Source organism: Homo sapiens, chromosome 16 (genome assembly GCF_000001405.40).
Source record: "Homo sapiens chromosome 16, GRCh38.p14 Primary Assembly".
Taxonomy (NCBI): Eukaryota; Metazoa; Chordata; class Mammalia; order Primates; family Hominidae; genus Homo; species Homo sapiens.
In genome coordinates this window covers 67,468,592-67,481,255 of record NC_000016.10, presented here as the reverse complement: position 1 = coordinate 67,481,255, position 12,664 = coordinate 67,468,592, and the positions used below count along the sequence as shown (strand labels likewise).

At 47.7% G+C, this 12,664-nt stretch overlaps 1 protein-coding gene across 1 annotated transcript in view, besides 2 other annotated features; it reads left to right on the top strand.

Annotated features, from left to right (window-relative positions):
• Positions 99-148: an enhancer, noted in NCBI's record as "active region_10966". NCBI's record gives its function as "activates an Ori minimal core promoter by ATAC-STARR-seq in GM12878 lymphoblastoid cells {active_cell/tissue: GM12878}" and the evidence as "EXISTENCE:reporter gene assay evidence [ECO:0000049][PMID:35858748]".
• Positions 99-12,664, top strand: part of ATP6V0D1 (ATPase H+ transporting V0 subunit d1) — a 43,139-nt gene continuing 30,573 nt past the window's right edge. Inside the window, exon 1 of the mRNA NM_004691.5 lies at positions 99-299. Within this exon, the coding sequence (NP_004682.2) occupies positions 170-299 (130 nt within the window). The 5' untranslated portion in view covers positions 99-169. The remainder of the gene's footprint in view (positions 300-12,664) is intronic.
• Positions 309-548: an enhancer, noted in NCBI's record as "active region_10965". NCBI's record gives its function as "activates an Ori minimal core promoter by ATAC-STARR-seq in GM12878 lymphoblastoid cells {active_cell/tissue: GM12878}" and the evidence as "EXISTENCE:reporter gene assay evidence [ECO:0000049][PMID:35858748]".

Here is a 12,664-nt window from a genome sequence, read left to right as displayed (position 1 = left end):
GGAAGCCGGGCACCGCTCAGAGCCACGCCCCCTTATGGTCACGTGAGGCGCTTGCGCGTCACCTGACGCACTTGACAGCCCGCTGAGGACGCAGCGTCAGCTGACCTGGGGAGTCGCGATTCGTGCCGGCCGGTCCTGGTTCTCCGGTCCCGCCGCTCCCGCAGCAGCCATGTCGTTCTTCCCGGAGCTTTACTTTAACGTGGACAATGGCTACTTGGAGGGACTGGTGCGCGGCCTGAAGGCCGGGGTGCTCAGCCAGGCCGACTACCTCAACCTGGTGCAGTGCGAGACGCTAGAGGGTGAGCCGGGGCCGCGAAAGGCGGGGATAGAGGCTGTCCGGGGCCTGAGGGTTCAGAGGTGTAGGCCGGGAAGCCGGAAGGGGGGGTCTTGAAGGGCCTGAGAGGCCTCTCTGGGAATCCTGGGGCTGATAGCGGACGCGCAGGAGCGGGATCTACCTCTAGCTGTGGCTCGGCGCGGGCCCAAACTCAAACAAGGCTTTAAGAACCGCAGTTGTTCGCCTCTGCTTGGGCCACCTTTTCTCTCGCTGTGCTCACCCTGCAGTTTGGGAGGAGGGGGTGTTTCGGGGGTAGTTGGTCGGTGCGAGGTGTGGCCATACAAACCTCTTTACCCTGACGTAGCCCGAGAGCTGTCGCGTAGCAACCCTTAGGGAAGCTAAGCGGAAAAGTCCCCCACCTCTTCCCCCTCCCCCCGCCAAGACACTAAGGTCTTTGGGATCATCGTGTCTTCGCGTTGGCCTGCGGGGTGAGCCTTCCTGGGGAATTGCTGAGCCAGTTTATCGAGGGTTTTCTCCCAACTCTGAACTGCTGGCTGGGCAGTATCTCCTGAAGGCAATGTTTGGGAGAACAAGGGTGGCCCTTGCAGGTCTGGAAGTTCATATACAAGTATTTGGCCAATTAATCCCACCCCCTCAGCGAGGGGGATGCCTGTTGGGACAGGGTTTCTGAGCACAAGAGTAATGAGAAACCGAGTTCCCCTTTCTTCTCAGCACACAGCTCCAGAGTGGCGTTGACTTCTTTTTTTTTTTTTTTTTTTTTTTGAGACGGAGTCTCGCTCTGTCGCCCAGGCTGGAGTGCAGTGGCGGGATCTCGGCTCACTGCAAGCTCCGCCTCCCGGGTTCACGCCATTCTCCTGCCTCAGCCTCCCAAGTAGCTGGGACTACAGGCGCCCGCCACTACGCCCGGCTAATTTTTTGTATTTTTAGTAGAGACGGGGTTTCACCGTTTTAGCCGGGATGGTCTCGATCTCCTGACCTCGTGATCCGCCCGCCTCGGCCTCCCAAAGTGCTGGGATTACAGGCGTGAGCCACCGCGCCCGGCCGTGGCGTTGACTTCTGAGGCACAGCTCCAACAGATGTACTGAGTTAGAGGTGTCCCTAATTCCAGTCTTTGCCAACCACTCCCGCTCCAGGTGGTAGGGAAGGGAAGGGTGGCCAGGATGTGAGGGGATTCCTGATCCTCAAGTGGTACTCTTGAGCAGAGGTGCTGATAGCCTCGTAATTGGTAGCTGGGTGGGGGGAGGATGGCCAGATGTTTCACCCACTAGAGAACATTTTCTCGTCAGAAACTTCGTGAGGTTAAAAGTGAGCTCAAATGAAAAAGTCATTTATTGTTTGCCTTGCAAACTGGACCAGTAAAGTGAAAATAAATACCTTTAAAATAGAAAACTTACCGTTAAAATACAATAATTGTAGGTGTTATGATTTTAATGTAAATCTGCAGTACAGGCCAGGCGCGGTGGCTCACGTCTGTAATCCCAGCATTTTGGGAGGCCAAGGCGGGTGGATCACAAGGGCAGGAGTTCGAGACCAGCCTGGCCAGAATGGTGAAACCCTGTCTCTACTCAAGATACAAAAAATTAGCTGGGCGTGGTGACAGGCGCCTGTAATCCCAGCTACTCGGGAGACTGAGGCAGGAGAATTGCTTGAACCTGGGAGGCAAAGGTTGCAGTGAGCCAAGACTGCACCACTGCACTCCAGCCTGGGCAACAACAGAGCGAGACCCCGTCTCAAAAAAAAAAAAAAATCGGCAGTACAATAATTGTAGGTGTTATGATGTTAACGTACATCTGCAAGAAAAGTTGTTTACCTTACTTATGTGAGTGGAGGTGGGGAAGGAGAGCACTTTAGGATGCTGGGTAGTAGGCATCTGCCAGCAACCGATTACCCTTACTGTGGTAAAAAGGGGAGAATAGAGGGAGGCTGCCTGGGACAGGGCCTGGCACACAGTTGGAGCTTAATGTGAGTTTTGTGGACTGCCTGGGACTTGTCGAAGGTCTTTATTTGCCTAAATCTAAGGTGAACATCATTGATCATCAATAGACATTCGGTTGGTTGTTTCCCTTCTTGACTTTCCTCACTCCTGCTGCTGTCCGCTCTCCTGTAACAGCTTCTGGGGGCACAGGGTTCTTCCCATCTTCCCAGGGGACCCTCTATCATCCCCCATGAACATGTTAGGCCATTCTTTCTACACATTTTTCCTATAACACTGCTCAACATAGGCACCCACCCTCCCGCCCTCTGCCCCACCTTGTAGAATACCATCCAGATCTTTAGTGTGGCATTCAGGTATCCTTTGCTCATTCACACACATTTCTTTCTTTCTTTCTTTTTTTTTTTTTTTTTTGAGACAGAGTCTAGCCCTGTCACCCAGGCTGGAGTGCAGTGGCGCGATCTCCGCTCACTGCAACCTCCACCTCACCAGTTCAAGCCATTCTCGTGCCTCAGCCTACTGAGTAGCTGGGATTACAGGCATGTGCCACCATGCCCAGCTAATTTTTTTGTATTTTTTAGTAGAGAGGATTTTGCCATATTGGCCAGGCTGGTCTCGAACTCCTGACCTCAAGTGATCCACCCACCTTGGCCTCCCAAAGTACTGGGATTGCAGGCGTGAGCCACCACGCTTGGCCATTCACACACATTTCTATCCCTCATATCCCTCATGCAAGCCATCCCTCCAGCACTTGGTGCACAAAGTGTGGTGGACTTTGGAGTTAGGCAAACCTGGGTTGAATTCCAATCCTGCCAATTACTGGACTACTTTAGATAACCTATTTAACACCTCCGGGCCTTGGGTTTTTCAACTGGTGTATTAACAGCACCTATCTCATACAGGTTGTGAAATGTCAACAAGCTACAACATGTAAAACACTTAGCCCAGCACCAAGGACAGAATAAGCGCTAGGTAAATGTTAGCCCTTGTTTTCAGTATTGTTTGTACCTGTACCCTCCAGAATTTCGCTTTCCTCTTTTCTCTTTAAAACTGTTTATTGACAGGGCGCAGTGGCTCATGCCTGTAATCCCAGCACTTTGGGAGGCTGAGACGGGTGGATCATGAGGTCAGGAGATCGAGACCATCCTGGCTCGGTGAAACCCCGTCTCTACTAAAAATACAAAAAAATTAGCCTTGTGTGGTGGCGGGTGCCTGTAGTCCCAGCTACTCCGGAGGCTGAGGTAGGAGAATGGCGTGAACCCGGGAGGCGGAGCTTGCAGTGAGCCGAGATCGAGCCACTGTGCTCCAGCCTGGGCTATAGAGCAAGACTCCGTATAAAGAAAAAAAAAAAACTGTTTATTATGGATACTGTCAAACATATACAAATAAGAAGCAATAATATAATGAGCCCCTAAGTAATAATCATCTAACTACAACAATCATAAATTCTTATTGATAAAATAATTATCTGTCTTGTTTCAATACTAGTTCCATTTATACCCCCACTCCCAAATTATTCAGAAGTAAGTCCCAGACAGCATACCCTTTCAGTTGTAAATATTTCAGCATCTCTGAAAAAAGTCATGAGTATTTTAAAAAAATGACAATATTATTCCTCCTTCCTTAAAAACAGTAATTTGTTAATGTAATCAGATATCCATTTAGTATTCAAATTCCCCTGATTGTCTCAAATTTTTAAAATATGATTTATTTGTTTCAATTGGGATGCAAATATGATCCATACATTTCAGTTGATACTCTCTCAAGTATTTTAATATATAGATTGAAGTTAGATCACTTGATTAATAGATTTTCCATCCATCTCAATTTTACTGATCCCATCTCTGACATATAGTTGAACTTGTTCCTCTGTCCCTTGTTCCCACTTTAAATTAGTAGTAGATCTAGAGGCTTGCTCAGATTTTGGTTCAATTCTTTTTTTTTTTTTTTTGTAAATACTTAATAGGTGATGTTTGTACTTCTTTTTTTTTTTTTTTTTTTTAATTTGAGACAGAGTCTCACTCTGTCACCCAGGCTGGACATCTCGGCTCACTGCAACCTCTGCCTCCCAGGTTCAAGTAATTCTCCTGCCTCAGTCTCCCAAGTAGATGGGATTACAGGCACCCGCCACCTGGCTAATTTTTTGGTACTTTTAGTAGAGATGGGGTTTCACCATGTTGCCCAGGCTGGTCTGGAACTCCTGACCTCAGGTGATCCACCCACCTCAGCCTCCCAAAGTGTCAGGATTACAGGTGTGAGCCACTACACCCAGCCAATGTTTGTACCTCTATTGGGAGGCACATAATACCTAGTTTCTCTTTTTAGGATGTAAGGAATAATTGACATTTATTGACTGAAGCCATCGTTTCATCGGGGGTTGCAAAATAGTGCTATTCTAATTCTGTTTCCTTCTGTAGTTGCCAGCTTGACTACTTCTATGCCTGTAAACTTCCAGTAATCAAGTACTTAGTTATCCTGAGATACAGTCTGTATAGGAGAGGTTAAGATAAATGCTTATTTCTTTCCAATAGTTACCAGGTTTCAAAATAAAGAGTTGTTTCACTGACATCCTCCAAAAATGACTAATGAGGTTTTGTGACTAAACCAACCAAGATTTGTTTAGTATTATAACACACTAATGGTTTTTAATGTATTTGTTATGTTTCAGTTGATTAATCTTATTGATGCTTAAATTGTCTCTTGGCCAGTGGAAGCTTTTTCAGTTGACTGCCAAGTCTTTTTTATATAACCCTGTAGCCATTGAAAGCTTCCTTACTATCTGAGATGTCTGGTTTTTTTTTTTTTTGGAATGGAATCTTGTTTTCTTGCCCAGGCTGGAGTGCAGTGGCACGTTCTCAGCTCACTGCAACCTCTGCCTCCCAGGTTCAAGTGATTTTCCTGCCTCAGCCTCCTGAGTAGCTGTGACTACAGGCCTACGCTACCACGCCTGGCTAATTTTTAGTAGAGATGGGGTTACACCATGTTAGCCAGGCTGGTCTTGAACTCCTGACCTCAGGTGATCCACCCACCTCGGCCTCCCAAAGTGCTGGGATTACAGGTGTGAGCCACTCCATCTGGCCTGGGATGCCCATATGTTCTAATCTTACCTTGAAGATTTCTTGACCCAGACCTAGAGTCTTCATTTCTCTTAGGAGACTTGGTTCTTTGTATTACAAAATTGTATTTAGAGACCATAATCTGAGTCATATGGGGTTCTCATTGATACTGTATTGGACATCAGTCTTGGTTTTTTCCATGGCTAGTTTAGCTCTTCTCTTACTCAGAAACTTGGAAAATACAGAGAAGCAAACAGCTTGCTGGATTATGTAGCACCACTTCAGCTGATGAGTACCAGAATGCCAGTTTCCTAATTTGGAATAGGAGCTCTACCTGATACTTGGGCCAGTCAGGACATCTTCCTCCTGTTGCAAAGAAATATAATTAACACTCAAGAGGAGTCCTGTGACCTTCTCAGCTTCCATGTGAGCTAGTGGTCCTGGAAATTGTTCTTCTCAGCCAGAGAGTTAGATCGTTGGAGGCCATGGGTGAAGGGCCCATGTTTGATGTGCTGGCTGTTGTCCAGAACACTTTTATCCCTCTCTACCCTGATTGATTTGTCTTCTGTCCATTACATCTCTTTGTGCCTTTCAACATTATTTCACAAGAGACAATTTTATGCAGGAAGAAGAGAGACTCCAGGCTGGACTTGGCCAATCGCCAGTCGCAATGTCACATGAAACTGCAGATGCAAATGTTGATGGTGTGGCAGGTCGTTTAGCACAGACTGTGGGGTGGTTAGGACTGTGGCTGGAAAGTTAAGGAGAGATTAGCTCTAGAAGGATCGTAAAAACCATAGAAAGGACTCTGTCCTGAGTGCAGCGGATGGGATAGTAAAACTATTAGACTTGTACTTTAACAGGATACCTGCAATTTGAAGGTGGAGGCCACCCTGGAGGCAGAAAGAACAGTTTGCAGGTTCTTATAGTAATCCAGGCTGGCGGTGAAGGCAGCTTGACCTCAAGCATTGGCTGGGAGTATTGTAGGAGAATTTTAGGAAGGGGATTTGATAGGACTTGAGCGTTGGGCAAGAAGGCTGGGGGAAGAATAAGTCAAGGTCGATGTCCTCATCTTGGCTTAGGCAACTGTGTAGGTGGCAAAATGAAATGATGGTGGCATGTAGGAGAAGGAACACGTTGTAGAAGTGAGAAGATGAAATTGAGGGATCTGTGAGCCATCTGAGTGGAGATATGAAGGCTATTTTTGGTGCTCAGGTGTGACAGTTCTGAGCTTGGGAAATTGAGATAGCGGTGTGTCCACGGTCCCCAAGAGATAACCATGGAATCAGAAGACTAGAGGCTGAAGATGGGACCCTCCCCCAGGAAGCACTTCAGTTGATCACAGGACTTGGGGGAAAATGATGGTCCTGCCAAAAAGGCCAAAGGCATTCCCTGAAATGTGGGTAGCTCCAAAGGAGAGCCTGAAAATAAATGAGGTAGTGAGTGCCAAATGTGGCCAAGAGATTGATAAAGTCAGCCTTCCATTTGGTTTTGCCATTCAGAGGTCATAGGAGACCTTAATGAGAACAGAAGAAGGTGAGGCTAGAAGGTGACCGCAGTGGATGGGCAGAGACAATGTCTAGACAGTTAGAGAAGACCTTACTGATGGACTGATCCCAGCGCAGCCACTTAACTGGTTTTGTGACCTTGGACAAGTCATTTATCCTCAGCTGTAAAATGGGAATAATATTAGGGTCTCTGAGATGTTTGTGAAGTGTAAGCACAGGGCCTGGGACCAAGTGAACAGTTGGAGAGGCCAGGTGCTCCACTGTGGTCATTCCCTGCTGTCACTCCTAGGAGACAGGTGCCATGGTGGGCCTTGAGTGGCTAATACAAGTATGTCACACAGGTCTTGCTTAGGGCAAGTGTGCCTGTCTAACAGGCAGACTGAGTGACCATCAAAACAGCATTGAGTGCACAGTAAGTGCAGGGTACTTTAGGGAGGGGATGTTATGTGGTGGGTGACGGTTAATGGGTATGGGCTTTATTTTTGGGGTGATAAAAACGTCCTAAAACTGGCCAGAAACGGTGGCTCATGCTTGTAGTCCCAGCACTTTAGAAGGCCGAGTCGGGGGGATCACAAGGTCAGTTCGATACCAGCCTGGCCAACATGGTGAGACCCCCATCTCTACTAAAAATACAAAAAATTGGCTGGGTGCAGTGGCTCATGCCTGTAATCCCAGCACTTTGGGAGGCCGAGGTGGGCAGATCACGAGGTCAGGAGATCAAGACCATCCTGGCTAATGCGGTGAAACCCCGTCTCTACTAAAAATACAAAAAATTAGCCAGGCATGGTGGTGGGCGCCTATAGTCCCAGCTACTTGGGAGGCTGAGGCAGGAGAATGGCATGAGCCTGGGAAGTGGAGCTTGCAGTGAGCCGAGATTGCACCACTGCACTCCAGCCTGGGCGACTGAGCGAGACTCTGTCTCAAACAAACAAACAAAACCACAAAAAATTAGTTGGGCGTAGTGGCGGGCACCTGTAACCTCAGCTACCTGGGAGGCTGAGGCAGGAAAATCGCTTGAACCCGGAAGGTGGAGGTTGCAATGAGCTGAGATTGCACCACTGCACTGCAGCCTGGGTGACAGAGTAAGACTCCATCTAAAAAAAAAAAAGTCCTAAAACTGATTGTGGGGCGGTTGCACAATTCTGTGAGTATGCTTAAAACCATGAATTGTACACTTTAAGTTGGCAAATTGTATGGCAAATGAATTATATCTCAGTAAAGCTGTTGCTGCGCCACCCCCCCCAGCCCCAAATTAGCCAGGCCAAGAGGTGGGAAGAGCATAGGGAGAAGGAATGGCATTAGTAGTCTCAGAAACACGAAACTGCCTCGTGCATGACAGCAGCCTTGGGAGGTGGAAGGAGAAAGTAGAGTGTGTGTCGAGGATTTGCAGCAGCGAGGTCTGGATAGATGCATTGGGCTGGTTCCTGGAAGGCTGTGGGTGTCTTAGAAGGACATATTGCTCAGGAAGGATGAAAGTTATGGTAAAAAATTGTTTTAAAAAGAGAGAGATTCTTAGATTAAGGTTAATGTGTAGGAAATGTCTTGTTTAGGATTTTCTGTGTATGCTCTTGCCTGGAAATATATATATATTTTTTTGAGACAGTCTTGCTCTGTTGCCCAGGCTGGAGTGCAGTGGCGCGATCTTGGCTCATTGCAAGCTCCGCCTCCTGGGTTCACGCCATTCTCCTGCCTCAGCCTCCCGAGTAGCTGGCACTACAGGCACCCGCCACCACGCCCGGCAAATTTTTTGTATTTTGTTTAGTAGAAACGGGGTTTCACCGTGTTAGCCAGGATGGTCTCGATCTCCTGACCTCGTGATCCTCCCGTCTTGGCATCCCAAAGTGCTGGGATTACAGGCATGAGCCACCGCGCCCAGCCGCCTGGAAATATTTTATACATTTCATTTTGTTTGTCAAAGGAAACTCTATTGAATTGGTGAAATTAGATGACCACAACTTGGACAGCAAGATGAGCTTAGCTCAGTCCTAAATTCCTCTGAGTCAAACGTGATCCAAAGGAAGAGATGACATGGTACTGGCAATCTAGTGACTACAAGCAAGAGAGAGGAGCTGGGGGCTGGGGGAGGGCATTGGGAGAAGGGTGTGCAGAAGGCAATAATAGAAGGAACATTTACTCTGTGGAAGAAAGGGAATGAGCATGTTGAGTTGTGAGAGCCTGGACCCCACACAAGCCTGAAGTTTTTCCCTCTTGTTGGCCCCACTGCCCTGGGCAGTGGCATTGCTGCACAAGGGGACCCCAGTGCTCAGTGGCGGATGAACTGGCACAGGTTGTTGGTGGTGTCTGGCAGCCTGCTGCACCTGTTGCTCCCCTCCAGCTTGCTGCTGCTGCTGCCTGCGAGAATGAGGCCCCAGAGCAGGAATGGAGGCTAGGGCTAGGCAGGGGGGAGGTTTGGCATCTCGCTGTCATGAGCCAGTGTGGGAACCTAACCCCTCACTGGGTGAAGAAAAGGGGAATTGTGGAGGAGGTAGGGTTGGTGGTATGATACAATTAGAAACTCACTGGGCCTGGTGTGGTGGCTAACGCCTGTAATCTCAGCCACTGAGGAGGCTGAGGTGGGAGCATCACTTGAGCCCAGGAGTTTGAGGCCAGCCTGGGCAACATAGTGAGAACCACCCCCCGGCCCAATCTCTAAAAAAATAATAATATGGGAGGCTGAGGTGGGAAGGTCGCTTGGGCCTGGGAGGTTGAGGCTGTAGTGAGCCGTGATCACACCACTACACTCCAGCCTGGGCAACAGAGAGAGACCCCGTCTCAAAAAAAAAATTAATAATAATTTTTTTTAAAAAAGAAACTTGCTCTGAGGGAGGGGATGATTAATCTGTATAAAATTACAGCTAGATAGGAGAAGTTCTATTCTATACCATAGGGTGACTGTATTTAACAATAATTCATTATATATTTTCAAACTGCTGTAAGAGAGGATTTTGAATGTTCTCAACACAAAGAAATAATAGGCCACGTGTGGTGGCTCATGCCTGTAATCCCAGCCCTTTAGGAGGCTGAGGCAGGTAGATCGCTTGAGGTCAGGAGTTCAAGACCACCCTGGGCAACATGGTGAAACCCCCATATCTACTAAGAATACAAAAATTAGCCGGGCGTGGTGGCGCATGCCTGTAATCCCCAGCTACTTGGGAGGGTGAGGCAGGAGAATTGCTTGAACCCAGGAGGCAGAGGTTGCAGTGAGCCAGGGTCACCCCCACTGTACTCCAGTCTGGGCAACAGAACCAGACTCTGTCTCAAAAACAAAGAAATAATAAATGTTTGAGTTGATGGATATGCTAATTACCCTGAATTGATCATTCATTACACAGTGTATATATGTATCAAAATATCACATGTATCCTATAAATATGTGCAATTGTTACACGTCAATTATAAACAAAAAAGAAACTTGCTCTGAGGCTCTAGAGGATGGATTTGTGGGAGCAGGCCAGAAGCAGGACACTTGCTAGCTGCTCTTGCAGCTCTCTAGGTAGGAGAATATGGACTAACCAGGGCTGGAGTGGAATGAGGGGGGATGAAGGACCAGGTCAGAGATCAGCTTGGGAGATGAAACCCACAAGATTGGTCCAGTTTTTATTAGATGTGGGTGAAGAGGGTTAGAAGTCAGGCTGCTGGCTTAATAAATGACTGGGTGGATGCTGGAGCTCCTTTTGAGATACGGGCTACCAGAGAAGGGATAGGAAAGTTAGGGGTGCAGATTGGGGGGTGGGAGGGGAAGTATTCTATCTCAGATGTCTGAGGGAGTCCGGCAGGCAGTTGGCTGTGTGAGATAGTAACACTAAAGATATTAACCTGGAAGTCACCAGTACACTGGCTGGTGGCAGTTAGGCCCGCGCCAGGCCATCTGTTGGCTCATAGCCGGGCAAGCCTGCCTTGGAAGCCTAGCTCTGCCCACAAGTCCTGCCAGGAGGCTAGAGAGCAGCCTTAACTGTGGGCCAAGTGGACACAAGTGTGGCCTAACGAGGACACCTGGCATGGAGCCCAGTTTGGCAAGCGGAGCAGAGAGAGGGACAGCTGGGCTCTCCCTCCAGATTCCTGCCGTGTCTCTTCCTGCATGATGCTGGGGCATGGTGGTTTTTTGTTTTCTTGTTTTCTTTTTGACTAAATATAATTTTTTAATTCCAAAAAGTTGGTAGAAGGATGACTTGGTGTAGACTCTCCAAGGGGTATACATTGTCACCCCTTTGTCAAAACACTGCATGTATATACCGTGCGACCCTGCAACCCAACTTATAAGATTGTGTCCCGTAGATTAACATGGGATAGCATGTACAGAGGTGTTTATGCCAGCCTTGTTGGTAGCAGCAAACTATTAGAACCAATGGAATATCCGGTGATTTGGTTATGGTCTGGTTAAGTAAACCATGGTCTATTCTTACAATGGAATACTACGAGAGAGTGCTCAAAAGCATGAAGTTCCATAAGGGCTGATTTAGAAATATGTTGTTAGGTGAAAAGTTGCAAAGCGTTACATGTAATCCCTCATCTTGGTAGACTACCAGATGGACATATATGCATGTTTTTGGAAGCATAGGCGCCAAGTTGTCATGAGTGACAACCTCTGGGGAGAGGGATTTATAGAGGCTGGTAGGGGGAAGATTTCAATGTTGACTTTTTATGTACTCTTCTATTGTTTAAATGTATTACAGTGAACACATTTTATAATTTGATACATTCAATAAAGATATTTAAGGAAAATTAGGACATATAGGTAAGCAAAGAGAAGGGTACCCACACCCAGCAGCCATCAAAGCTGAGGCCTGTGCTGGAGAGCCTGGGACCTTTGTGGTCCAGGTTTTGTTTCGCATTGTGGGGCATTGTAGGGCTGGTCTGAGTCTTAGGGAACCCCCATGAAGCCACTTCTCTTTACACCTGAAGACTCCCAAGTCCTATGGGGGTGCTTGAGGGCCCAGGCCAGAGCTGGACCCTTCTCATGTCAGCTGGCCAGAGCTGCAGGGCCCCTGTCCAGGTATAGCCACTGTGAGCAGGTGACCACTTAACTGGCTGTTTTTCTGTCTGTCCTTTGCCTCTTCCTCCTGACCCCTACTCCTGTATTCCCTTTGTTGGTTACATCTTGCACTGGCATATACTTTAGCCCGATTTTATTATTTATTTATTTATTTATTTATTTTGAGAAGGAGTCTTGCTTTGTTGCCTAGGCTGGAGTGCAATGGCGCAATCTCGGCTCACTGCAACCTCCGCCTCCCAGGTTGAAACGATCCTCCTGCCTCAGCTTTCTGAGTAACTGGGATTACAGGCGTGTGCCACCACGCCTGGCTAATTTTTGTATTTTTAGTAGAGATGCGGTTTCACCATGTTGGTCAGGCTGGTCTCAAACTCCTGACCTTGTGATCCACCTGCCTTGGCCTCCCAAAGTGATGGGATTACAGGTGTGAGCCACCGCGCCTGGCCTTTAGCCCGATTTTATCTGAGAAGCTATTTATGGTCAAGTCAGTAAGAGTCCCCACAGGAGCCAATAACTGCTGTTTCCAAATCCCTGCCACAGGATGTCTTGTCAGAACTTGCTCTGGTGGGTGATAACATATACTTTTTCTTGGGTTTACTCAGCGATTTCTTGGGCCTGGTTTCCGAGGTGGAGCCAGTGCTTGAACCCCTGCTAGGCCTTTTGAAGTACCCTCAGCCTAGGCAGATGTCAGCCATTCAGGGCCCTTAGTAAATAAGGCTTTCTGGGTGACTAGGGTTTCTTGATGGCAGAGACGGAAATGCTTCAACACCTTATTTTAAACATTGCATAATACACTTCTGGAATATATTAGTCTCATTTCCCTGCTTGCTTGCTTCCTTTCCTTTCTTTCTTTCCTTCCTTCTTTTTTTTTTTTCTTTTTCT